The sequence below is a fragment of the Homo sapiens genome, chromosome 17, assembly GCF_000001405.40.
Source record: "Homo sapiens chromosome 17, GRCh38.p14 Primary Assembly".
In the NCBI taxonomy this organism is placed as follows: domain Eukaryota; kingdom Metazoa; phylum Chordata; class Mammalia; order Primates; family Hominidae; genus Homo; species Homo sapiens.
In genome coordinates this window covers 78,484,646-78,509,229 of record NC_000017.11, presented here as the reverse complement: position 1 = coordinate 78,509,229, position 24,584 = coordinate 78,484,646, and the positions used below count along the sequence as shown (strand labels likewise).

The 24,584-nt window shown below is 55.5% G+C and overlaps 1 protein-coding gene and 1 long non-coding RNA gene across 6 annotated transcripts in view, besides 6 other annotated features; one reads left to right on the top strand and one right to left on the bottom strand.

The window, feature by feature from the left end:
- The window catches only part of DNAH17 (dynein axonemal heavy chain 17), a 153,700-nt gene that overhangs the window by 68,167 nt on the left and 60,949 nt on the right, over nucleotides 1-24,584 (top strand). For all 5 annotated transcript variants that reach the window (XM_024451013.2, NM_173628.4, XM_011525416.3 and 2 more), the window contains 21 exons: nucleotides 1,425-1,772; nucleotides 1,861-1,952; nucleotides 2,384-2,510; nucleotides 3,785-3,937; nucleotides 6,219-6,344; nucleotides 6,532-6,639; nucleotides 7,357-7,488; nucleotides 7,886-8,046; nucleotides 8,769-8,925; nucleotides 10,118-10,222; nucleotides 13,198-13,355; nucleotides 14,133-14,271; nucleotides 14,410-14,637; nucleotides 15,057-15,194; nucleotides 16,465-16,597; nucleotides 17,660-17,787; nucleotides 18,383-18,531; nucleotides 22,724-23,006; nucleotides 23,097-23,270; nucleotides 23,473-23,680; nucleotides 24,197-24,362. In XM_024451013.2, the coding sequence (XP_024306781.1) occupies nucleotides 1,425-1,772; nucleotides 1,861-1,952; nucleotides 2,384-2,510; nucleotides 3,785-3,937; nucleotides 6,219-6,344; nucleotides 6,532-6,639; nucleotides 7,357-7,488; nucleotides 7,886-8,046; nucleotides 8,769-8,925; nucleotides 10,118-10,222; nucleotides 13,198-13,355; nucleotides 14,133-14,271; nucleotides 14,410-14,637; nucleotides 15,057-15,194; nucleotides 16,465-16,597; nucleotides 17,660-17,787; nucleotides 18,383-18,531; nucleotides 22,724-23,006; nucleotides 23,097-23,270; nucleotides 23,473-23,680; nucleotides 24,197-24,362 (3,413 nt within the window). The remainder of the gene's footprint in view (nucleotides 1-1,424; nucleotides 1,773-1,860; nucleotides 1,953-2,383; nucleotides 2,511-3,784; nucleotides 3,938-6,218; nucleotides 6,345-6,531; nucleotides 6,640-7,356; nucleotides 7,489-7,885; nucleotides 8,047-8,768; nucleotides 8,926-10,117; nucleotides 10,223-13,197; nucleotides 13,356-14,132; nucleotides 14,272-14,409; nucleotides 14,638-15,056; nucleotides 15,195-16,464; nucleotides 16,598-17,659; nucleotides 17,788-18,382; nucleotides 18,532-22,723; nucleotides 23,007-23,096; nucleotides 23,271-23,472; nucleotides 23,681-24,196; nucleotides 24,363-24,584) is intronic.
- Nucleotides 1,245-2,444: an enhancer, noted in NCBI's record as "MED14-independent group 3 enhancer chr17:76502868-76504067 (GRCh37/hg19 assembly coordinates)". NCBI's record gives its function as "activates an origin of replication core promoter dependent on BRD2, BRD4, P300/CBP and CDK7 cofactors, and independent of MED14, by STARR-seq in HCT116 cells {active_cell/tissue: HCT116}" and the evidence as "EXISTENCE:reporter gene assay evidence [ECO:0000049][PMID:35650434]".
- Nucleotides 1,628-2,129: an enhancer, noted in NCBI's record as "H3K4me1 hESC enhancer chr17:76503183-76503684 (GRCh37/hg19 assembly coordinates)". NCBI's record gives its function as "activates a minimal SCP1, AML or CMV promoter by ChIP-STARR-seq in naive H9 embryonic stem cells {active_cell/tissue: H9 hESC(naive)}" and the evidence as "EXISTENCE:reporter gene assay evidence [ECO:0000049][PMID:30033119]".
- Nucleotides 6,174-24,320, bottom strand: DNAH17-AS1 (DNAH17 antisense RNA 1). Its single transcript, NR_102401.1, has 6 exons — nucleotides 24,068-24,320; nucleotides 19,656-19,855; nucleotides 16,012-16,143; nucleotides 15,033-15,216; nucleotides 12,194-12,374; nucleotides 6,174-10,386 (listed from the first exon to the last, which is right to left on the bottom strand). It is a non-coding gene; the product is annotated as a DNAH17 antisense RNA 1 (long non-coding RNA).
- Nucleotides 10,743-11,291: an enhancer, noted in NCBI's record as "H3K4me1 hESC enhancer chr17:76494021-76494569 (GRCh37/hg19 assembly coordinates)". NCBI's record gives its function as "activates a minimal SCP1, AML or CMV promoter by ChIP-STARR-seq in naive H9 embryonic stem cells {active_cell/tissue: H9 hESC(naive)}" and the evidence as "EXISTENCE:reporter gene assay evidence [ECO:0000049][PMID:30033119]".
- Nucleotides 11,292-11,840: an enhancer, noted in NCBI's record as "H3K4me1 hESC enhancer chr17:76493472-76494020 (GRCh37/hg19 assembly coordinates)". NCBI's record gives its function as "activates a minimal SCP1, AML or CMV promoter by ChIP-STARR-seq in naive H9 embryonic stem cells {active_cell/tissue: H9 hESC(naive)}" and the evidence as "EXISTENCE:reporter gene assay evidence [ECO:0000049][PMID:30033119]".
- Nucleotides 14,981-16,180: an enhancer, noted in NCBI's record as "BRD4-independent group 4 enhancer chr17:76489132-76490331 (GRCh37/hg19 assembly coordinates)". NCBI's record gives its function as "activates an origin of replication core promoter dependent on BRD2, P300/CBP, MED14 and CDK7 cofactors, and independent of BRD4, by STARR-seq in HCT116 cells {active_cell/tissue: HCT116}" and the evidence as "EXISTENCE:reporter gene assay evidence [ECO:0000049][PMID:35650434]".
- Nucleotides 24,288-24,517: a silencer, noted in NCBI's record as "silent region_9069". NCBI's record gives its function as "represses an Ori minimal core promoter by ATAC-STARR-seq in GM12878 lymphoblastoid cells {active_cell/tissue: GM12878}" and the evidence as "EXISTENCE:reporter gene assay evidence [ECO:0000049][PMID:35858748]".

The window sequence follows — 24,584 nt, the reverse complement described above, 5'->3', positions numbered from 1 at the left end:
CTTTGGGGAGGCCAAGGTGGGTGGATCACAAGATCAGGAGATTGAGACCAGCCTGGCCAACATGGTGAAAACCCATCTTTGCTAAAAATACAAAAATTAGCCAGGCGTGGTGGCGCATGCCTGTAATCCCAGCGCTTTGGGAGGCTGAGGCAGGAGAATCGCTTGAACCTGGGAGGGAGAAGTTGCAGTGAGCTGAGATCGCGCCACTGCAGTCCAGCCTGGGTGACAAAGTGAGACTCCATCTCAAAAAAAAAAAAAAACAGCTGGGCACATGATGACACACACCTGTAGTCCCAGCTACTTGGGAGGCTGAAGTGGGAGGATGAATTGAGCTCAGGAGATGGAGGCTGCGGTGAGCTGTGATCATGCTGCTGCACTCCAGCCTGGGCTGGACCCTGTCCCTAAAAAAAATTATAATTTTTAAAAAAATAAAAATAAAAAATAGAATTAACAAATTTTAGAATATTTTCATCACCTCAAAAAGAAACCCATATCCTTTAGCCATCATCCCCTACCCCTTTCCTCTCACATGTCCCCATCTCCAGCTCTAGGCAACCACTAATCCACTTTCCCCCTCTATAGATCCCCCTCTTCCACACTTTCATAGGAATGGCATCATAGGTAGAGGAGGCAACATTTTCACTATGCTTTTAGGGTTTTTTCCAGCTGGGTCTGAGAATTCCATTGACGTAAGATAGATCAAGAGGAGAAAAGTATGCAAATTATTTAAATCCAAGTTTTCTGTGGTATGGGAGGAAAGGAAGACTCCAAAACACAGTTAGAGTTGAACACTTAAGTACTGAGTTGCAGAAAGCGTAAGTTGTAGAAAAGTAATCTGTGTAAGAGGCTGGAAGGTGAGAGCTGTTCTAAAAGGGTCTGAGCAGACAGGATTCTTTCCGCCTCCACTTCCCATCCTAGTGATGAGAATGATCGTTTCATTCTGGTATCAGAAGAGCATCATTCACCTGGGAATTGCATCTCCTGCTTCCCAGGAACAGCATGAGGCTCAGAGAGAGAGTCCTGCATCTGCTGCCCTTCAAGTGCCTCTGACTCAAAATTGTCAATTGCAGGATGGCATATTTTGGGGTGGCACGTTCTGATCTCCTTTGCGTGCACTATGTGGTCTGAGCGTGTGGCTTCTTTCACTCAGCCTAGGGTCTTCAGGTTTATCCGCGTTGTGGCAGGTGTCTGTACTTCATTCCTTTAGTGGCTTATGTTCCATTATATGGACAGAGATCGCATGCATCCATCATTGGGGGATGAAGGTTCGGGTTGGATCTGCCTTTGGCTCCTGTGAATACGTTGGTTTGAGCCTTTTTGCTTTCTGATCATGGAGCTTCAGTCTATGTCCTGGAAACTCTGGGTCCTGCCTGAGCTTTGCATGCCAAATGCTCAGTGACCTTATTTTTCTGTTCCCCCAAAAGGTGCTGAAAGCCCTGGACAGTACCTGGAGCATGATGGAATTCCAGCACGAGCCGCACCCGCGGACAGGCACCATGATGCTCAAGTCCAGCGAGGTGCTGGTGGAGACGCTGGAGGACAACCAGGTGCAGCTGCAGAACCTGATGATGTCCAAGTACCTGGCCCACTTCCTGAAGGAGGTGACAAGCTGGCAGCAGAAGCTGTCCACGGCGGACTCCGTCATCTCCATCTGGTTTGAGGTCCAGCGAACCTGGAGCCACCTGGAGAGCATCTTCATCGGCTCCGAAGACATCCGCACCCAGCTCCCGGGGGACTCCCAGCGCTTTGACGACATCAACCAGGAATTCAAGGTGAGCACAGCCCGGTGGTTCCCACGCACTTCAGAAATGACTGTGTGTGGCGATCCCTAATGCCTTGGCGATCCCCTTCTCTTCCCAGGCCTTGATGGAAGATGCAGTGAAAACACCCAACGTGGTGGAAGCCACCAGCAAACCCGGCCTCTACAATAAACTGGAGGCCCTGAAGAAGAGGTGCGGCTCACACCTATCCAGACCAGGGGAGTCAGTGGTGCAGATTCCCTAAGTCTTAAGTCTGACGGAACTTAAGTCTTGTGCAGCCTGCTGGCCAGGACAGGGCAAAACCATGGGTCCTGGGTTAATCAATTGCCTTTCCCTGGGGAGCACACACTCCCCGGCCTCATCCCACCACGTGATGCCTTGGCCTTGAAGGAAGCAATGACCCGGAGAATAAATGATGCTCCCTCTTGCCTAGGAGTGCCCACAAGGTCAGGGGATGGCAAAGAAACGAGAGCCTCCGGTAGGAGATTCTGAATTAAACCAGGCCTGTGAACAGCAGTCCAGGCATCTCCAGGATGATCAGTTTCCTTCGCCGACAGGGTGGGTGGCAGACATCCCTACAGAGTAGGGTCACCGGCCTCCTCTACTTCCTTCCTTCCTCCCAGCTTGGCCATCTGTGAAAAGGCTTTGGCAGAGTATTTAGAGACGAAAAGACTGGCTTTCCCCCGGTTCTATTTTGTCTCCTCGGCTGACCTCCTGGACATTCTCTCCAATGGCAATGACCCCGTGGAGGTAGGCGGGGCCCCTTGCATTCCGGTGTTTAAGCCAACATCATGCCAGACCCCAGGTGGGCACCTCTACCTCAACCGCCCTAGGGTGGGGTAAGTGTCCTTGGACGTGCCCCATCATCTCCAGGAGGCCCTCTGCACCAGAAGCTGCCCTGGGGTCCCCAGCCATGGCAGAAACGTGGCAGGACTCGCCTCACATCCTGCTCTGCACTTGGCCTGGCTTTTGAGAAGTTAATTTGCCTCTCTGTGCCTCATTTTCCCCTTCTAGAAAATGGGTCGTATGCCAGAGGCTTAGTAAGACACTGTTTCTGAAAGACACACCTCTCAGTGGGTCTTGCTCTGGTCAGCTGGTTAAATCTCAGGGTCCCAAGAGCAAGGAACAGGTGCCTCCTTGGGGCTATTCTAAAAGAGAAAAGAGGTCAGGCACAGTGGCTCACACCTGTAATCCCAGCTACTCAGGAGGCTGTGGCATGATAATTGCTTGAACCCGAGAGGCAGAGGGTTGCCGTGAGCCAAGATCGCACCACTGCACTCCAGCCTGGGCGACAGAGTGAGACTCTGTCTCAAAAAAAAAAAAAAAAAATTAACTAGGTGAAGGGAAAGCGCTTGCATTTTATTTTGACCGTAAGGTTAGAGGTTACACAAGAAGAAGGGATATGCAAGAATAGACTGAGTGTGTGGCTTGGGATCTGGGACAGAACCTTCTCAAAAAGAAGAAATCTTATTTATTAATTTTTTTTATTTTGAGATGGAGTTTCGCTCTTGTTGCCCAGGCTGGAGTGCAATGGCGCGATCTCGGCTCACCACAACCTCTGCCTCCTGGGTTCAGGTGATTCTCCTGCCTCAGCCTCCCAAGTAGCTGGGATTACAGGCATGCACCACCACGTCTGGCTAAGTTTGTATTTTTAGTAGAGATGGGGTTTCTCCACATTGGTCAGGCTGGTCTCGAACTCCTGACCTCGGGTGATCCACCTGCCTCGGCCTCCCAAAGTGCTGGGATTACAGGTGTGAGCCACCATGCCCCACCAAAAAGAAATCTTCCAGAATGGATGTTTGGCTTAGAAGGGCTGCGGTTCCTGGCCTGGTTTCTGTGTCCTGACTCAGAGCAGTCTTCGCTGGTTCCTTTTGTTGACTTAGTCATGTTTAGTCAACGTTGATCAAAGATGGGGAGTATATTCCAAAAAGAACGATGCCTAAAACCACCCACGGAAAGCCCAAGCCACGCACATGCCTTTCAAATCCCCCGTTGCATAATTCCCGCTTCTTGCCTCCTCCCAGGTGAGCCGCCACCTGTCCAAACTCTTCGATAGCCTGTGTAAACTGAAGTTCCGGCTCGATGCCAGTGACAAACCTCTCAAGGTGGGCCTGGGAATGTACAGCAAGGAGGACGAGTACATGGTTTTTGATCAGGAATGCGACCTCTCGGGGCAGGTGAGTGTGTGCGCACACCACACAGGGAACCCAGGACAAGGGTGCAGCACGCGTGTGGGCCACACGCCCTCAGATGGCGATGTCCGGAGAACCAGCACCCTGTGCAGCTGCCAGCCCGCCCCTGCTCCTCTCCTCTCCCTCTCTAGAAAACACTTAAGGGATGGGCCTCTTTATAGAATTTCCAGCCCAGCCTTACCCATATAGCACCAGTGTATCCTTAGGGAGAAAGGGGAGGGGAAAGGACGGGAGAAAAGCCCTGTTCGGGAGGCTGAGGCAGGAGAATCGCTTGAACCCGGGAGGCAGAGGTTGCCGTGAGCCAAGATCGCGCCACTGCACTCCAGCCTGGGTGACAGAGTGAGACTCCGTCTCAAAAAAAAAAAAAAAAAAAAAAAAAAAAAGCCCTGTTAATATCATTGAATCCTTTCCATGGCTTTTGCCAAAGGGACTGCTTTAAAAGGGGTTGCACATCTCTGAACTGCCAATTCCCATCACCTGTCTGAAATAATCGGCTGCACAGCCCACCACTCAGAGTGGTCTCCACAGCCTCTTCCTTCCCCAGCAAGCGCGTCCCCCGGCTCAGGGCGGGCTCCTTCTGCCGTCAGAAAACTTCCGGGCTGCCCCCTCCCCTGTCTCATTACCCAACTATTGATCAAGCAATAGAAACCATTTTAACATCAGCCTGAGGAAAATACAATGCAGAGGTAAATCAGTTGTAGGAAGAAGAAAAAAAAATCTCGAGAAAACCTGAGGTTCAAAGAGTTGAACACAGCACACACGTGGCCTGCTCTACGTGGATGGGGTGGGTGGGGTGGGTGGGGTGGTGACAGCATCTGTCTAGATTCGCTTCCTGGGCTTACCCCTTACAAACAGAACTGCAGACCACAGCGAGGCCTGCCTGCACTGTGTTTCCAGTTAAAAGGAAAAATCTGGCCGGGCGCGGTAGCTCATGCCAATAATCCCAGCACTTTGGGAGGTCGAGGTGGGCGGATCATCTGAGGTCGGGAGTTCAAGACCAGCCTGGCTAACACGGCGAAACTGGTCTCTACTAAAAATACAAAAATTAACCAGGTGTGGTGGCAGACACCTGTAGTCCCAGCTACTCGGGAGGTTGAGGCATGAGAGTCACTTGAACCTAGGAGACAGAGGTTGCAGTGAGCCGAGATCACGCCACTACACTCCAGTCTGGGTAATAGAGTGAGACTTCATCTCCAAAAAAAAAAATCTACCCTCATGTCCACTTGAGGGTTTTTTTCTCCCAGTGGCAGTTACTTTTGTGAGTATGGTTTTTTTTTTGTTCATTTGTTTTTTGTTTGTTTGTTTGTTTTTGAGATGGAGTCTCACTCTTGTCGCCCAGGCTGGAGTGCAATGGCACGATCTTGGCTCACTGCAACCTCCACTTCTCGGGTTCAAGTGATTCTCCTGTCTAAGCCTCCAGAGTACCTAGGATTACAGGTGCCTGCCACCGTGCCCGGCTAATTTTTGTATTTTTAGTAGAGACGGGTTTTCACCATGTTGGCCAGGCTGGTTTTGAACTCCTGACCTCAGGTGATCCACCCGCCTCAGCCTCCCAAAGTGCTGGGATTACAGACATGAGCCACTGCGCCTGGACCCCAGCCACATTTTTTAGGTGAGTCTTTGATTAGCCGGGTGTGGTGGTGCACACCTGTAGTCCCAGTTGCTTGAGAGGCTGAGGTGGAAGCATCGCTTGAGCCCACAGGTGGAGGCTGCAGTGAGCCAGGACTGCAGTTACTGCACAGCAGCCGGGGCAGCAGAGCGAGATCCTATCTCAATTTAAGAAGAAAATATGTGGCCGAGCGTGGTGGCTCATGCCTGTAATCCCAGCACTTTAGGAGGCCGAGGTGGGCGGATCATGAGGTCAGGAGATCGAGACCATCCTGGCTAACATGGTGAAACCCCACCTCTAGTAAAAATACAAAAAAAAAAAAAATGCCGGGAGTGGGGGCGGGCGCCTGTAGTCCCAGCTACTCGGGAGGCTGAGGCAGGAGAATGGCGTGAACCCGGGAGGTGGAGCTTGCAATGAGCCGAGATCATGCCACTGCACTCCAGCCTGGGTGACAGAGCAAGACTCCATCTTAAAAAAAAAAAAAAAAAAAAAAAAAAAAGGTGTGTCACTGTTACTGCTCTGTAAAATCCTTGACCTGTCTGCCCCTGGGATGAGGATGATGAGAAATGTTTTTCTTTACAACAAATACAAACAAAATTATTGGAACTAGAGGCAGGCACACATGGCTGTATTGGTCACCGTGGCTCCCGTCCCCAGGTGGAAGTGTGGCTGAATCGAGTGCTGGACCGAATGTGCTCTACCCTCCGGCACGAAATCCCAGAGGCCGTGGTGACCTACGAAGAGAAGCCGAGGGAGCAGTGGATCCTGGACTACCCAGCCCAGGTCTGAGGCGGGTGGGGGCTCGGCGGCGCCTCGTGGCTGAGATAAGGGGCGAGTTTCTTTGCGTTCATGGGCTCCGCTGTTAACTGTGGTCCCCTGGAAAACCATCTAAGCTTTCAGCAGGAATGTCTGCGTTAGCAGGCGCCAGCGATCGCTCACTGCGTGGGCAATGGGGGGTATGTACTTTCAGGTGGCCCTGACTTGCACCCAGATCTGGTGGACGACCGAGGTGGGCCTGGCATTTGCCAGGCTGGAGGAAGGCTATGAAAACGCTATCAGAGATTATAACAAAAAGCAGGTGTGTTACTAGTGTGTAGTTAGTTACGTTTTTAAAACTTGTTTAAAAAGCAGGTGCATGGGCCCGTGTATCCTTCTGAAACCTGCCGGGCGAGTACCTGGAGCGGCTTCTTCTCGGAGGCTGAGCCCCGCAAAACCGTCGTTTCCACAGGCCAAATAACAGCCACGCACCACAGCCCCAGGCACCTCTCCCCACGAGTAACAGACACCTTCAGAAATATGTACTTTGATTTCTCGCCTGAAAATTGGCAGATGCTACTGAGAGTCTTTAAAAAAAAAATGTCCTTGGTTAGAAATATGGAAACAAAAGATCATCTTGAAAAGAAGGAGAATTTACCTGTAATTCCACAACCCAAGCATGACACTGCAGGGCCCTTATGCAACCTGTTACTCTGTGTGTGTATAATTGATTTATATGTAAAAATATACAGACTCTGGATGGCGTTAAAGTCAGCTGTTTTTGCTTCTCATCCACCCTCTCTCGTGGCCTTGAATTTCCTTCTACTACGTCCATGCTAGCCACTGCCAGGTGTCCCATCAGGGCCGCACCCTGGTGAAACCAGTGCCTGGCTGGGGCCTACCGAGGGCGCTCTTGTTTTTCATTACTGTAAACAAAAGCATGGTGGTGTTCCCTATGCAGCTGTGGGCACCCAGCCACAAGACCCCCCAGTGCATGTGGGCACCCGTGGTGTCTCATCGAAGGCACTCTCCCCCGCAGATTAGCCAGCTGAACGTACTCATCACGCTGCTCATGGGGAACCTCAACGCTGGCGACAGGATGAAGATCATGACCATCTGCACCATCGATGTGCACGCACGGGACGTGGTGGCCAAAATGATCGTGGCCAAGGCATGAGCGCCCCTGTCCCAGGGGCCAGGGGAAGGGCAAGGGGACACCGGGTTCAGGGCAGTGCATTCAGGGACTTCAGACCCTGCCACTTCCTCTTCCTGGGGCACTGACTCTGTTGCTGGCTGCAGCTGCCTCCTAACCTCCTTGCCCGGACTCACCCCTGGTGAGCAACACACAGCAGTCAGATGAGCGGTGCCCGCCCATTGGAAGTGCCATTCTGTAGCGAGATTCCACTGAGGGTGGCCATACAGTTGGATGTGGGTGCTGGAGGGGGAAAGAGGGCCAGGGAGGGTTCCCTGGGCAGCAGGGGACCGGCCTTGGAGGCATGCTGGCCTTCCTTAGGCAGCCCTAGCTCTTGTATTCCACCTGGCAACAAGAGCTCCGGCTCATCCTGCAGGTGGAGAGTTCTCAGGCCTTCACCTGGCAGGCCCAGCTCCGGCATCGCTGGGACGAAGAGAAGCGACACTGCTTTGCCAACATCTGCGATGCCCAAATCCAGTATTCCTATGAGTATCTGGGCAACACGCCGCGGCTGGTCATCACCCCACTCACTGACAGGTGAGGCCCGTCCCTGAGTAACTCACATGTGCTCTTGGTGGGTCCCTTCCGCATGATTCTTGGAACTGTCCGACTTGGAGGTCAGCTGTGGAGGCTGGAAGGACTGGGCATTTGCGTCAGGTGGACCTGTGTTCACATTCAGTTCTACCACTGTGTCCTTGTTCTAGCACCGGCTGTGTGGCCTTGGGAGAGTTCCTGCACCCCTCTGTGGGCCTGCTGAGTTGGGGTCATGTTTTATGGACCCTCATGAGCAGACTCTGGTTGTCGTAGCAGTGCCCACCTCCCTGAATGCCACAGGTGGGAAAGGCACCTGGGCTGCCTCTGCTCCACGGTTGTGGTTCCTCCTTCACACCTGAAGGTTTTCTGCCCTCTCCCATGTGTCTCCTGGGGCTCATGCCTGTAATCCCAGCACTTTGGGAGGCCGAGGTGGGTGGATCACCTGACGTCAGGAGTTCGAGACCAGCCTGGCCAACATAGCAAAACCTCATCTCTACTGAAAATACAAAAATTAGCCGGGCATGGTGGCGGGCGCCTATAGTCCCAGCTACTTGGGAGGCTGAGGCATGAGAATCATTTGAACCCAGGAGGCAGAGGTTGCAGTGAGCCAAGATTGTACCACTGCACTCCAGCCTGGGTGACAGAGTGAGACTCTGTCTCAAAAAAATAAAAGCAGGGAGGCCATGGGGTCGCTGGCACACACGCTTACCTGTGGTCACTTGCAGGTGCTATATCACCCTGACCCAGTCCCTCCATCTCATCATGGGTGGAGCCCCTGCCGGCCCCGCTGGGACCGGCAAGACTGAGACGACCAAGGACCTGGGCAGAGCCCTGGGCACCATGGTCTACGTCTTCAACTGCTCCGAGCAGATGGACTACAAGGTACGCGGCCGGGGTCCGGAGGAGGGACCCAGAGTCTTCTTTTATAGAAGCAGATCCTAGCACCCTGTCCTCCGAGGCCCCACAGTAAACTCCAGATCTCTGGATACCTGTGAATGGCACTGGAGAGGAGGTGCCAGGGCCCCCACTTGCTGGTAGCATCCCCCTCAGGTGGTCCCTCTGGAAAGACTTCCAGGGTGGACAGACGCAGCCCCAAATGTCCTGCCCCAGCCCCTGCCCTGGAGGTGACCCTCTCTCAATTTCAGTTGTTAAGATTGCCCCGAACTGGGGACTCCGCACAGGGGTGAGCACCTCCCTCATGGTTCAGCATGGGGTGGGGTACAAGCAGTGTCCAGGTGGGTTTGGGAGGGGAGCAGGGGATTGGCCCGGTCCCATCAGTCATTAGAGCCTGCACAGGACATCGTCGGCTCACAGGAGGCCAGGGAGGGGAAGGGGATACCTCGGAGCTCCAGGCTGCAGCAGCCTCTTGCAAGACGGGAAGGCAAGGGGGATGGAACCCTGAGTTTTGGACCCTAGGCCTGCAGAGGGTCTCCCCTCCCCAGCTTGGATCTGAGCCCCACAATCTGGGGGCCCCCTCCTGAGGCTGAGGATGGGACCAGCAGCCCATGTTCACTGTCAGGGCCACGCAGTCCACATCCGCCTCCTGGATTTTAGAAAAGTGAAATCTGAAGTTGGATCTCCCTGGAAGGGACTTAACATCCACCTGGAATCCCAGGTGTAGATGGGACGAGTCCTTCTGATTGGCCCAGGTGGGGCCTAGAGAGACACAGATGTCTTGAGGGAAAGCCTCCGGCCTGCTAGACGTGCCCCCATCCCGCCTTAGAGGACTCCCTCTCCTCTCCACGCAAGAAAGAAAAGGGCTGAGAAAACATGCAAGGTTTAGAACTTAAATGTGCTTGTCTGAGCCCCTTATTAGGGACTCCAGGAAGTCCCCATCCTGGGGTCTGGGAGGCAAGGGTGAAAGGATGGCTCTTCCTCGTGTCCAGCCCTCCACGGTGTTACCCTGGGCAGTAAGCTGACCTGCCTGCTGGCCTGCGGAAGGCTCCAATGCACCGGGGCCTGAGCAAGCTTTGGGAAGAGAAAACACAGCCGAAGAGGCAGGGGGAGGCCCCTGCAGCGCCCGCCCTCCCTGTCACCCTCCCAGCTCTTCCTTTCTCCATCTCGCCCTTTCCAGTCCTGTGGAAATATCTACAAGGGCCTGGCCCAGACGGGAGCCTGGGGCTGCTTTGACGAGTTTAATCGCATCTCAGTGGAAGTCTTGTCTGTGATTGCCGTGCAGGTAAAGTCCCCTGCCTGCGGCCTCGGGGTCACGTCGGGTGACTGGCTCGTCAGCTTTCCTGTGACCTCACACGCCAGATAGACCCTCCTTGCCTCTCTGCAACGTTCCAAGCACCGAAGGGTGGTGTGGTGCCATTGAGCTCTTGCCCTCCAGGGTCCCAAAGCCTGGTTAGGCAAACACATTGAAAACAGAATCAGATTACAGGTTACATGTATGGTAGCAAACGTGTAACAAAATACAGGTGGGAGAATAATTAATTTTGCTTAGGAAAGAAAGACAAAGTGCTTTGTTATTGGTATCAGCGGAGCTGGGCATAGGAGGTGCTGAAAGGGAATGGCAGGAAAGAAAGAAAGGAGGGGGAGAGGGAGGAAGAGGAGGAGGGAGGAAATGCGCCCGTGTGTTTTGGGAACAACCATGCCGGGGCACAGAGCGTGCAGCGGAGTGGCTGGGGCGACCTGGGTGCAGGGACTTCGGATTGGGGAGCAGCCTGGGCCAGCGCCCCACCCCCACTGATGCTTGTTAAAATCTCCAGCGTGGGCCCCACTTGTTAGGAGGAGCATTTCTGCATTTTAAACAAATGCCTCAGGTGATCCTGACGCATGCTGGGGGTTGAGAAGCACTGGGCTGTCTAAGGTAAGTGGAGGCCGACCTAGCGGCCTGGGACAATTGTGCTCTTCCAAAAGGAAATGCAAGTCAGGGCGTTGGCGGTGTCAAGGTCCTCCCACCACAGGATAGACCAGGAGCATGTGGGGTGTGGACGTGCAAATGCCTCCTGGGCTGCTTAAGCCCCACAACCTGGGTGGAGAGCCTGCTTTATTTATTTATTTATTTATTTATTTATTTATTTATTTATGTTTTGTTTTTTTGAGACGGAGTTTTACTCTTGTTGCCCAGGCTGGAGTGCAATGGCACAGTCTCGGTTCACTGAACCTCCGCCTCCCGGGTTTAAGCAATTCTCCTGCCTCAGCCTCCCGAGTAGCTGGGATTGCAGGCGTGCACCACCACGCCCGGCTAATTTTGTATTTTTAGTAGAGATGGGGTTTCTCCGTGTTGGTCAGGTTGGTCTTGAACTCCTGACCTCAGGTGATCCACCCACCTCGGCCTCCCAAACTGCTGGGATTACAGGCGTGAGCCGTTGTGCCCGGCTGAGAGCCTGCTTTATACACCAACTTAACCCCTGACTCTCGGCTTGGCAGTGATGTGGACTCCCTCTGCCTCCACCTTCTAACCTGTAAGGCGGTGTTGGTGACACAGGTCTGCCAGCAGGATTAGAGGTGCCTGGGGTGGCTGCTTCCTCCTCTCCTTATGCTCCCTCTGCCTCAGTCATTCCCCAGCCCCAGGGCTGGAGGCCCCATGACCAAGAGAATGGGGACCCCAAACCATGGGCAGTGCTGGCTGTTACCGTGGGGACCCTCTCCCTTGCCCCCAGCACAGGAGCAGAGCTGCTGAGCACCTCCGACGTCCATGAACAAACCCCAGAATATTTATATAGCCCCTACTCTGGGCACTGAATGTTCACGGGCTCCAATGGAGACCACAGGAGAGGCTTGGCCTAGCTGGAAGCGGTGCTGTTCCGAAAGGCCCCAGTCCTGCCAGGGGACAAGCTGCACGCTCAGCAGACTGGGCATGGGGGTGTCTGGGATCACCAGGGCACCAGGACTTGGCTGTCCTGGGGAAGACAGGGAAAGGCAGGTGCTGGGAGCAGCTTTACCGCGAGTATTGGGCCCCCTCAAGTGGTGACTTGGAGAGACACAGCTGTCTTCTGCAGGTTTCCAGAGGAGACCTCAAGCAGGCAACGGCCCCTGATGCTCTAGGTTTAACCTCGTAGCTGACAGTTGGCCTTCAAGACTGTCTGATACGGAGGTGGCCGCTAACCAGTCCTCTGACAGGTCATTGCCAGAGTAGTAACAGGACAGAAAAGGGCTGGGAGTGGAACCCAACTCAGCAGGGACAAGGTGTTGAAATACTTACTGGTTCCTGCAACAGCCTGGGTGCATCTCCAGAGAATTCTGCTGAGTGATAAAAGTCCATCTGGGGGCCGGGCGTGGTGGCTCACGCCTGTAATCCCAGTACTTTGGGAGGCCGAGGCGGGCGGATCACGAGGTCAGGAGATCGAGACCATCCTTGCTAGCATGGTGAAACCCTGTCTCTACTAAAAAATACAAAAAATTAGCCGGGCGTGGTGGCGGGCGCCTGTAGTCCCAGCTACTCGGGAGGCTGAGGCAGGAGAATGGGGCGAACCCAGGAGGTGGAGGTTGTAGTGAGCCGAGACCACACCACTGCACTCCAGCCTGGGCAACAGAGTGACACTCAGTCTTAAAAAAAAAAAAAAAAAAAAAAAGTCCATCTGGGAAGATCGTGTATGATACAATTCCACTTATATAACATCCATGAAATGACCAAATCACAGAAAAAAAGGACATGGTTGCCAGGGGTCAAACGGAGGGAAGGGGGCAAGAGGGAAGGGGTGTGGCTATAAGAGGGCTGTCACCCCATGGTGACAGCAATGCTGGCCTCAGTGTCGCGCCCACCCTCCCCCCGCCCACCACCCCCGCTGTGACTGGTACTGTTATTAGGCAAGATGTTCCCATCAGGCTACATGGGGCAGAGAGTACACAGAATTGCCTTTGTATTTTTTTTTCTTCCCCCCAATCACTGTCTTTTGTATTTTTTATTGAGACAGGGTCTTGCTATGTTGCCTAGGCTGGGCTCAAATCATCCTCCAGCCTCAGCCTCCCAAAGTGCTGGGATTACAGGTGTGAGCCACTGTGCCTGGCCCTCTGTATTATTTCCTACATGGCATGCAAATCTACAACTTTCTCAAAAATAAAAGGCTTAATTTAAAAAATAAACTAGGAGGTTTGAATTTGCAGGCGCAAATTCGCAGCCTCATGCTTTAACATATGTGAAGGCCTCTCTGGTGTGTGGAAGCTGGCCATTTCCATGCTAACATGTCTGTGTCACCAACCGTGCAGGTAAAATGTGTCCAGGATGCAATTCGGGCCAAGAAAAAAGCATTCAATTTCCTGGGAGAGATCATAGGCCTCATTCCCACCGTCGGTATCTTCATCACCATGAACCCTGGGTACGCCGGACGCGCGGAGCTGCCTGAGAACCTAAAAGCCTTATTCAGGTACGTGGCCCAGGTGAAAGTGAGTGGCTGCAGTGAGCCAGGCCGGCCACAGCAACGTCCCAGTGCCAAGGAGTGGGCAGAGGGGAGGGGCAGAGGGCAAGCTGGGGAGGGAAGAAGTCATCAAAAGCTCCCAAGATGGCCGGGCACAGTAACTCACTTCTGTAATGTCAGCACTTTGGGCGGCTGAGGAGGGTGGATCACCTGAGGTCAGGAGTTCAAGACCAGCCCGGTCAAGATGGTGAAACCCCGTCCCTACTAAAAATACAAAAATTAGCTCGGTGTGGTGGTGCATGCCTGTAATCACAGCTACTCAGGAGGCTGAGGCAGGAGAATCGCTTGAACCTGGGAGGCGGAGGTTGCAGTGAGCCGGGATGGCACCATTGCACTCCAGCCTGGGCAACAAGAACAAAACTCTGTCTCAAAAAAAAAAAAAAAAACACTCCCAGGATGAGGCAGGCGAGGGCCTCCTTAGAAAGCACTCTGTCTTCCCCTGGGTGGGAGGACCGCACCTGGGACACAGTGATGGAAAGCAGGGTTGGGGGGTTGGGGTGGCTCTCAGAGGAGGGGCCCTGAAGGTGCACCCAGTGGATGATGTGGGAGGAGGAGGGAAGTAGGGAGCAGGCGGGCTGGGAGCCCGGCTCCAGGACCGAAGGTTCAACACTCTGCTGTGGTCTACCTGGCAGTCGAGGTGTGCTCTCCTAGGTGAAGAGGGACAGGCAGGGGTGTAGGTTGGGGAGGGAGTGGGCAGAAGCCCACAGGCACCGCTGACCTCCCCAGGCCCTGTGCCATGGTCGTCCCCGACTTCGAACTGATATGTGAGATCATGCTCATGGCCGAGGGCTTTCTGGAAGCCCGCCTTCTGGCCAGGAAGTTCATCACCCTGTACACCTTGTGCAAGGAGCTGCTCTCGAAGCAGGTGTGTGTGTCCTGGAGCTCACGGCGGGTGTGGGTGGGAGTTTGAGATGCGGGCAGCAGCCAGGGTTGGCTTCCAGACCTGCCTGCTGGCCACAGGAAGGTGAGCTCACGTCTGCCCACCTGTGCCCACTGCCCGCAGGATCATTACGACTGGGGCCTGAGAGCCATCAAGTCTGTGCTGGTGGTGGCCGGCTCCCTGAAGAGGGGCGACCCCAGCCGGGCAGAGGACCAGGTGCTCATGCGGGCGCTGAGAGACTTCAACATCCCCAAGATTGTGACAGACGACCTGCCCGTATTCATGGGACTGATCGGGGACCTCTTCCCGGCTCTGGACGTGCCTCGGAAACGGGACCTGAATTTTGAAAAGGTCGGGACTCCTGGGTCTCAGGTCTGTCCGGAGAAGCCTGCCTGGCTGGGGCTTCCTTCCCACTGATGTTGGACGGGTGGAGACCCGTGTCACACACGCACGTTTCCCGATGCTACAAAGAGACCTCTGAGCCACAGCTGCCTCCGTGGCCCTGGCCAGCCCCACCCTGTCAGTGCTGGGGGAGGTCACTCTCTCAACTGAGGCTGGGGGGGCTTCAGGCAAACCGACCCCCTGCATGAGGTCGCGGTGGAGCTATGTCAACTCTCGGCATTGACAGCAGAACTTGCAGACGCACGTGCATCGGAGGGCAAGGGCGCCTTTATCATCTCCCCCACGGGGCAGGAAGCCCCCCAGCCTCCCAGCGAGAAGAAAGAAAAGCTGCTTCAGTTCCTCACCCAGCCTCATCCATGTCTCCCCAGATCATCAAGCAGAGCATCGTGGAGCTCAAGCTGCAGGCGGAGGACAGCTTCGTGCTGAAGGTGGTGCAGCTGGAGGAGCTGCTGCAGGTCCGCCACTCCGTGTTCATCGTCGGGAATGCGGGCAGCGGCAAATCTCAGGTGTGTCACCCGCTCCAGGGACCTTGCAGGGATCCGGCATGGTGGGGGAGGGCTGGGGCGAAGGGTCGGCCCTCCATCACTCCCCGCCACCCCGGAGACCCCAACCCAGTACATCCTGGGAGCCCTCCGGCCTGAGTCATGGGCCAGGGAGGAAGCTGGGGGCCGAGGAGGAGGGGAGGAGCTGCCACAGCCCCTGATCCCTGATCCCTGGGTGAGGCCTCCCTCCCTGTTCCTCCTTGTCTTCCTGCTCTTCTCTCCTTGACGTCAGTCACTTGTCTCCCTGTCCCTGTGGCCGGCCCAACCCATCGCCCTCCTGTCACCTGCCATGGCCTAGGGAGTGGTGACATGTGGAGGGTGGTGGCGGATGTGACTGATGTCTGTGATGTGGAAAATTCCATGCCAGCCAAGTGTCCGGCCAGAGGCCCACAGGCTGGACCCTTCTGCTATTGTTTGAGATCACTCCCACCGCCAGTCACATGGGGAAGCTCACCAGAAGTGATGTTTTAAAAGGCAGAGGCCGCATGGACCCAGTTTCCTAAAAAGGAACTCGGACATACACATACAGGAAATGTCCTCAACCGTGTCTTTAAAGCTCCTTTTCCCTGAATGGAGGATTGTGGGGAGTTTTCCTAGATGGTTTTTCAGTGAGTGCGTATTACTTGTACCATGAGGAAGAAAGGAATGTGAATGTTTTCAGAGCCTCGCACAGTCTAGGGCAAGCAGCTCTCTGCGGGCTGCAGACACGCACAGTGAACAGTTAGCTTCCCATCACCCAGGCCTCCTTCGCCTCAGCCATGGTTGGGGGGTGTAAACTCACCTGTGTGTCTCCAGAGCAAACGTGATCCAGAGAAGGGTTCAGCCTGGTGGTTCATAAAAGGCATCCAGGGCCGGGCGCAGCGGCTCACTCCTGTAATCCCAGCACTTTGGGAGGCCAAGGCGGGCTGATCACCTGAGATCAGGAGTTTGAGACCAGCCTGACCAACATGGTGAAACCCTGTCTCTACTAAAAGTACAAAAATTAGCCGGGTGTGGTCATGGGCGCCTGTAATCCCAGCTACTTGGGAAGCTAAGGCAAGAGAATCACTTGAACCCTGAGGCAGAGGTTGCAGTGAGCTGAGATCACACCACTGCACTCCAGCCTCGGTGACAAGAGTGAAACTCCATCTCAAAAAAAAAAAAACCATCCAGGCCCACCCATGGTCCTGAGGCTAGTGGGGCAGGATGTGCCAGGAACATGGAGTCACACGTGAGTGACCCCCACCTTCGCCAGGTCCTCAAATCCCTCAACAAGACCTATCAGAACCTGAAGAGGAAGCCGGTCGCCGTGGACCTGGACCCCAAGGCCGTCACCTGCGACGAGCTCTTTGGCATCATCAACCCAGTGACCAGGGAATGGAAAGATGGTAACGAGGGTGGTCCCGGGACAGGCTGCAGGGGCACTCCTGGTCCAGTGCAGTGAGCGTGTGCTCAGCCGTTCCCACGTGGAAGGCCAGCCTCCCCAGGCTAGGGTGGGGCACACAGGCACGTGGCCTGCAATGGTGGCACCATGGTAACAAAGTTTATGGGGAGCAGTGGGCACGTAGCACCCGGGCTGGGGGATAAGGAATGGGGGCCACAGGAGCTGGGACGGTGAGGACTGCAGGCCTGCCCCGAGCAGGCCAAGGGGAGAGGGCAGAGCAAGGACAGGTGTGACCCGTGAGGAGTGCATGGGAGCCCAGACATGCAGGCTGGAGGCTGCCCGGGGAGCCCTGGCCTCAGTCGGTGGGCTCTGGGGAGAAGCTTCCCCCAGGAGGTGGCGTCACTGGGTTTGCACTTTATGAAAGGAACTCCGGACGTTGGAGAGTGGGCTGCAGAAAGGAGCTGCGAGAGCTGAGGAGGAGTCAGCGGGAGCAGGGTGGTCCTGACCAGGAGCCTAGGGGAGGGCTGTGCCTAGCCTGTCCCCCGCACCCTACCCATCAGAAGTGGCCCTACCCCTGACCCGCTTTCCCTGTCCCCCTTCGCTGGCTTCTGCATGTACAGCTCACTTCCCCTACTAGAAGTCAAGCTCTGTACCCCCAGCCCCCACCTTGCTCCATTCCATGCCTGACGCATGAAGCGTGCTCCGCAGACTTCTGCTGAGCGTGTGAGTGGACAGATGGACAGAGCTGGGTGCACAGGTGCTGCGCCCCGTGGGATGTTGAGCCTGGAAAAACTGAGCCAGCCAGGGCCACAAAGAGGGGCTGACAGGGAGGGTGCAGGGTCGGAGGAGGACAGGCAGGGCCTCAGGCATGGAGAGGGCACGTAGGAGGGAGGCCACAGAGAACGGAGGGCAGGGAGCCTGGGCACCTCATGCCCGAGGGCCTCTGCTGTTCCTCTGAAGTAGGGGACAGGCTCCCTCCCAGAGAGAGAGGCCAGGGTCAGGACTGGTGGGGACTGGAATGGGGCCGGAGTGAAGGGCCCGGGGTCATACCACGCGCCTCCCCCAGGCCTGTTCTCCACCATCATGCGAGACCTGGCCAACATCACCCATGACGGCCCCAAGTGGATCATCCTTGACGGAGACATAGACCCCATGTGGATCGAGTCTCTCAACACAGTCATGGATGACAACAAGGTTCGCGGGCCCTGGACTCTAAGCCCCAAGGCCACCCAAGGCAGGGACAACGGGGGCTCACAGGGAGGCGCCTACGGAGCACTCAGGCCCTGCATGCCAGGCTTGGCGCAGGTGGCGTGTCTGGATCTCCACAGGAAGCTATGAGTGAGGGGCACCTTGTCGTGAGACTTTGTCACATGCGTTGTGGTTTTGCATGCGCCTCACCTTACATTTTAGCAGGATGGGTTCAGAGTAAAGGCCTGGGAAGCAGAAATGGTTATGTAGAATTGTCTAGAAGCCATTTTCTAAAAATGCTCCTCAGTTGGATGCAGGAAGGAACACAATACTTTCCAGGATGGGGAGGGGTGATGGTTTGAGAAAGCAGCCCTGACTCCATGCTGCAGCCCTCACGGTGTGGGCGTCTAGAGGCTGCTGGATTCAGGGAAGGCAGAGAAGCCCTGGGCCAAGGGACTAGGGCTGTGGGCCAGGGGTGGCAGGGCTGGCCTGGGCCCCTCCTCCTTGCTCGGAGGTTTGCTCCGAGTAACCCCCACCCCAGAACACCATTGGGATGGCAGGTGTCGCCTTAGGACCCCACGGGCTGCTGTCCCCCTCCTAGGTCCTCACCCTGGCCAGCAACGAGCGGATCCCCCTGAACCGCACCATGAGGCTGGTGTTCGAAATCAGCCACCTGAGGACGGCCACCCCAGCCACCGTTTCCAGAGCCGGCATCCTCTACATCAACCCAGCCGACCTGGGATGGAACCCGTGAGTGGGGCTTTGGCTTTCCTGTTCCAAACCTCGGCAGGGAAAAACGAACTTGTTGGCCTGTTTCAGAGTTGCATATTCATTCATCATTCATGTCACAAACTGTGTATCAGGCCCTCACCAGGCACCAGTGTCACAGCAGTGAAGGGGTGAGAGACCTGGGAATAAATGGTGTAAATTCACAGTGACACGAGGCAGGGCAGCTGAGCAAACGGATGTTTGCACAAAGTGCCAGGGAACAAGGGCTGGTGTGGGAAGGGAGGTCTTGGCCTCTGTGGAGGTGGGAAGTCTTCCCAGGTGATTGAAGTTTGGGCTGCCATCCAAAGGGTCAGGCTGCCTCTAAGGGGTGAAAACAGAGAAGCACACCAGACAAGAACCCGCGTTCACAGGGCATGGTGGGGAGTGGGGCATTGCCGGATGGGCAGTGGTCGGGTTCTCCTGGCCAGAGCATAAAGGCGGAGGCTGCTCCTGACGGGAAGGCGCTGATGCTGGGCCAAGGTGCAAGTGTCCCTTTCCAATGTGACGAGGGAAAAGCAGCTGGTCATGCCAGCAAGATGGGGGCCTCTAGGGATCAGAGAGGAAGGGATGGGTTTAAGAAATATCTGAAATCTGGAGAAATGGAAGACTTGATATTGATTCCAGAGGCATATTTTCGGGCTTGGACACGTGGCTGGTGATTGACAGAGTAAGGGATTTCCTGGGGACATAGAAATGACAGCTTTGTGCAAATGTCCTGCGTGGACTTAGGCAGAAATCCCAGTGAGGTGTTCCTGAGGCAAGAGGCTCCAGAGGAGCGTCTTGGCTGGAGGTCACAGTTCATCCATCCATCCATCCATCCGCCCACCCACCCACTCACCCATCCATTCACCCTCCCGCCCACCCAGTACTTCGCACACCTGCCATGTGTGTCCAACCCCAGGATATTCCATGCTGGGGAGCTGGGCTCTCCAGGAAAGATGTAGAGAGTGATGAAAAAAGCTGGTTTTCTGAGAAAAACCAGCACCGTGGGGGAGGAAGAAGAATATGTGAGGGATTCACAGGTGGAACAAACCAAAGGCAGAAGGGAACCCAGGACGCGTCATCCCAGACACCCAGCAACAAAAGCTTCAGGAGGGAGCATTCACCTCAGTAGGATGGCACCCAGAGTCAAGCCAAGGACAGAAGAGTTCCCATTGCATTTGGGAGCTAGGCGCATCTCCATCACTCAGGGAGAACAGCTTCAGGGCGTGTTGAGGGCAGAGCCAGATGGCAATGAGGTATGGAGGAGGCAGCAGGAGGCGCCAGAAGTGAGGCGAGTCCTGCCTTGGAGTGCTGGAGGGTAGGGCTGGAACAAGAGGAATGAAGCTTTGTAGTATTTGTCGAGACAAGAATGATGTTTGGCCATGGGATGCAGGCATGGCTGTTTTCAGGTGCATGCAAGTCTATAGGCAGAGAAAATTAAGTTTCCGGAGTTCATGCTGGTGCACTTCTTTGCTCTCTGCGTGGGAAGTGAGACCCTCTGCTGGGAGGCAGGCAGCACAGTGTGGCCAGGGTTTGAGAGGGATACCAAGTGGAATGTTCCCTATGGGGACAGGGCCAGGAGCTGCTGAGCCTGGGTGCCTCTGTGCCGGCTTCTCCAGCAACACTTGCCTGCTTATACAGCATTCTCCAGCTGCTGAAACAATGACCACTAATGGGGCAGCTTCAAACAACAGACATTTATCCTCTCCCAGTGCTGGAGGCCAGAAGTCAAGGAGTAGGCAGTGCTGGTTCCCTCTGAGGCTCTGCGGGAGAACCTGTCCCAGGCCTCTCTCCCAGCTCCTGGGGGCTCTCGGCGGTCCTTGGCATCCCTTGGCTTATGGACACACCCCTCCCATCTCCGCCTCTGTCTCCACGTGGCCTTCTCTGTATGTCTGTGTCCAAATTTCCCATTTGCTTATAAGGACACAGTCATTGGATTCAGGGTCCACCCTAAATCCAGGATGATCTTGTCTCAAGATCCTTGATGACATCTGCTAATGCCCTTTCTCCAAATCAGGGCACATTCTGGGTTCTGGGTGGACATTCTTTTGTAGCACCACCATCCTACCCACTGTACCATGTGTGGGAGTTTTCAGGGTAGGCAAAGACAATGTCCGGGGAACTGAAATGAAGCCTGGGTAGGAGCTGCTGAGACACGGGGACAGGAAAAAGACAGGATCGTGGAGTCCTCAGGGGGACACCCTATGGGAGCAGAGAAGAGGGAGCCAGAAACGAAGGCAGCGTGGGCCAAGGCAGGAACTGGACACCTCCAAGGAGTGACCTGGAGGAAGCAGGAGGAGGAGACCTGAGTATTGGCAGAGGAGAGAATGGAAATGGGCGAGAAGCAGACACAGGGTCCCCAGACAGCAGGAGCAGCCCTCCTATAGGCAACTGCCAGGGGCAGGGATGCCGGATGCACCCAGGATGGCCTTGGGGACAGGGCAAGAAGCCGTATGGACCAGAGGTGAGAAAGTCGGCCTGTCTCGCAAGCATGTGTCTCTCCTGGGGCCTGTGCTACGCATATCAGAGACAGCACACACACCGACCCGCACTCAGTGACTCCTACCAAGGCAGCATCACAAATTTTTGACACAAACATCTTCAAAGTAGAAGGCAGAAAGCAGCAGCCTCTGCGTAGATTTGCAAATCAATCTCCCCTACTGAAGACCAACTGGACTTGGAATTCAGTTCTTAGTTGCGACAGGCATGGAGACACCCTGATTCGCTTAGGGACATAGAAAGGTTTACTCTATTACGCTGGATAATACAGGGTGCTATGCGGCAAAGACGTTCAGCTCTTAATTCTCTCTTGTGATAGAGGTTCAGGAAGAAGCGGAGCTCCCCCAGAGCACACTCACAGAAGAGTGTGTGTCTGGCCAAGCACAGTGCCTCATGTCTGTAATCGCAGCACTTTGGGAAGCTGAGGCGGGCAGATCATCTAAGGTCAGGAGTTCAAGACCAGCCTGGCCAACGTGGCGAAACCCTGTCTCTACTAAAAATATGAAAATTAGCCAGGTGTGATGGTGCACGCCTGTGATCCCAGCTACTTGGAAGGCCGAAACAGGAGAATTGCTTGAACCCAGGAGGCAGAAGTTGCAGTGAGCCGAGATCGCACCCCTGCACTACAGAGCAAGACTCCATCTCAGAAGAAGAAAAAAAATGAGTCTCTGTCTAAAGAGGCACGTCTGCCGGTCAGCGCAGGGCAGGCTGGCTGTGTGTGTTAACAGGAGCTTCCTGCTTAGGCCCTGGGCATCCTGGAAATGATGCACGTGCTGAGCTCACTGGCACTCGAGGGGGCCAGGCACTAGTGATGCTTTCAGCAGATGCTGATTTGGCAACACTTACCCTGGACCAGGCCCCCTTCTCTGAGCTTTAAAAATATCAGCCCATGTAGTCCTTGGAAATGAGGGTCATGGAAACATCACCCCTGTTTACAGATGAGAAACCAGGGACTCAGGCATGTGCAGTAACCTGCCTAAAGCAGCAGCTGGCCATGGTAGAGCTGACTCAAGCCTGGGCAGTCAGGCCCCAGAGTCCACACCCCTCACCGCCGTGGTGGGCCACCTCCACACGAGCCACCCAGAGATGTCTGTGGCCAACAGTCTGGCACGGCTCTTCAAGGATTGCTGGTTGTATTGATTTGTACTCTTACACTGAACATGGCAAATTCAACTCAAACTAACTGAAGCTTAAAAAAAAAAAAAAAAAAAAAGCACCAAGGGGTGCTTCAGGCATGGCTGGATTCAGGAGTCCAGATGATGTAATGAAATGTCCCTGCTCCTATCCTTGTCTCTCCTTTCTGCTCCCTTACTGTCCCCACCTTCGTGCCCCCCACATGACATCATGAGATCTTTCTCCTTTTCTGTTCTGCCCCATCCACCAGCCCTTGGTATGTGCTTCCCGTGTGGTAGCAAGAATGGCTTCCAACTGTTCTAGACCTACAGCACCCCCATAGCTAGCAACCCCAGAGAGGGCACAGCCCCCACGACCCTGGCATCCTCCTCCGACCCTTTCAGGGCCTGCAACTGGCCCCTCTGGCACCCTCGTTTGGACCCATTGCCATGCAGGCATGGTGACCCTGAGGGCAGCCCCAGCAGAATTGGGTGGAGGTAGGGAGGGGCGTTTACCAAGGCAGGGACACTGGCAGACCCAGAGCAGCGGCTGTGTCATCGGCGCCTCCTGTCACCCCCAGGGTGGTGAGCAGCTGGATCGAGAGGCGCAAGGTGCAGTCGGAGAAGGCCAACCTGATGATCCTCTTTGACAAGTACCTGCCCACGTGCCTGGACAAGTTGCGCTTTGGGTTCAAGAAGATCACGCCAGTGCCGGAGATCACGGTGATCCAAACGATTCTGTACCTGCTGGAGTGCCTGCTCACGGAGAAGACCGTGCCCCCCGACTCCCCCAGGGAGCTGTACGAGCTGTACTTCGTGTTCACCTGCTTCTGGGCCTTCGGTGGCGCCATGTTCCAGGACCAGGTGATGCACCTGGGGGGCCCGGCCACCCACACAGGGTCTCTCAGCATCCTGCTTAGCTGGGCCCTGATTTTTACTTCTGTGTCTCAACAGCTTGTGGATTATCGAGTGGAGTTCAGTAAATGGTGGATCAACGAATTCAAGACTATCAAGTTCCCCTCGCAGGGAACGATTTTTGACTACTACATTGATCCTGACACAAAAAAGTTCCTGCCCTGGACAGATAAAGTGCCCTCCTTTGAGCTGGATCCCGATGTCCCACTGCAGGTAACTGTCCCCAAAGCAGGGCCACCGACTGGTGATTTAGAGGCAGGAATCGGTGCAGTACCCTCCACACGCCTGCACGGAATGTCCAAACACAACCGATTTTCAACATTAGGACCTGTTCGGTAGAACATGGCCTGCACACCCACGAGAGGCAGAAGTGTCTGAGAATCACAGCTCCCTCCCCTTCCCTCCCCTGCCCCAGGCCTCTTTGGTCCACACCACGGAAACCATCCGCATCCGCTACTTCATGGACCTGCTCATGGAGAAGTCCTGGCCGGTGATGCTGGTGGGGAACGCGGGGACGGGCAAGTCGGTGCTGATGGGGGACAAGCTGGAAAGCCTGAACACGGACAACTACCTGGTGCAGGCTGTGCCCTTCAACTTCTACACGACCTCAGCCATGCTGCAGGGTGAGGCTGGTCCGGCCACGCCCTGCCTACCCGGCTGCCCCCCGCCAGTCCCCGTTCCCTCCTGTCCCCTCTCACTGCAGGCCCAGGCACTCACTAGCCACTTTGCACCTCCTCACTTCCCATGCCCCACCCGCTGGCCTTTCCTTCCTGAGTCGGAGACAGAGGAGGAGCAGCCGGGACCCCTCTTTCTGGTGCTCCCTTGTGGGCATGGTGATGGGGTTTTGATGGCCAGTCGAGGCAGCAGGTCCCCCGGGAGTGTCTCAGCCAATCTAAGGCGACCCAAAGGTGACGGAGAGCAAGGTTCCTGCCACCCTCGCCTCTGATCGCTCTGTTTATTCCTGGGGCTGTACCCGGTGCCCCCTCAAGGGCCACTCCCAGGGCAGGTACCTTTGGTAAACTTGGATCCCAGCCAGGTCCCACCTTCTGTCCTCCGGGGAAGCAGGTAGCGCCCCTCCCTACCTAACAGGCTCTGGCTCAGGAGGCGCAGGCGGGCAGCTGACCCTCTGCCCTCTCTAGGGGTGCTGGAGAAGCCGCTGGAGAAGAAATCGGGGAGGAACTACGGGCCGCCAGGCACTAAGAAGCTCGTCTACTTCATCGACGACATGAACATGCCCGAGGTGGACAAGTATGGGACGGTGGCCCCGCACACCCTCATCCGGCAGCACATGGACCACCGGCACTGGTTAGACGGGGCGGGGCCGGAGGGGAAGGCGTGGCCCCGGGGCGGTGAGGGCGGGGCCAGGGCGGGGCGCAGGAAGAGGCGGAGCCCCAGGGCAGTAGGGCAGGACTGGTGTGGGGCGGTGGGGGGGGTGCTGCAACGTGGGTAGGGAGACACGGGTCGTAGCTGGGCCCCCAAGTTTGTGGGGCCACAAGGCATTGAGGTAGGGCCAGGGTAGGGGAGAGG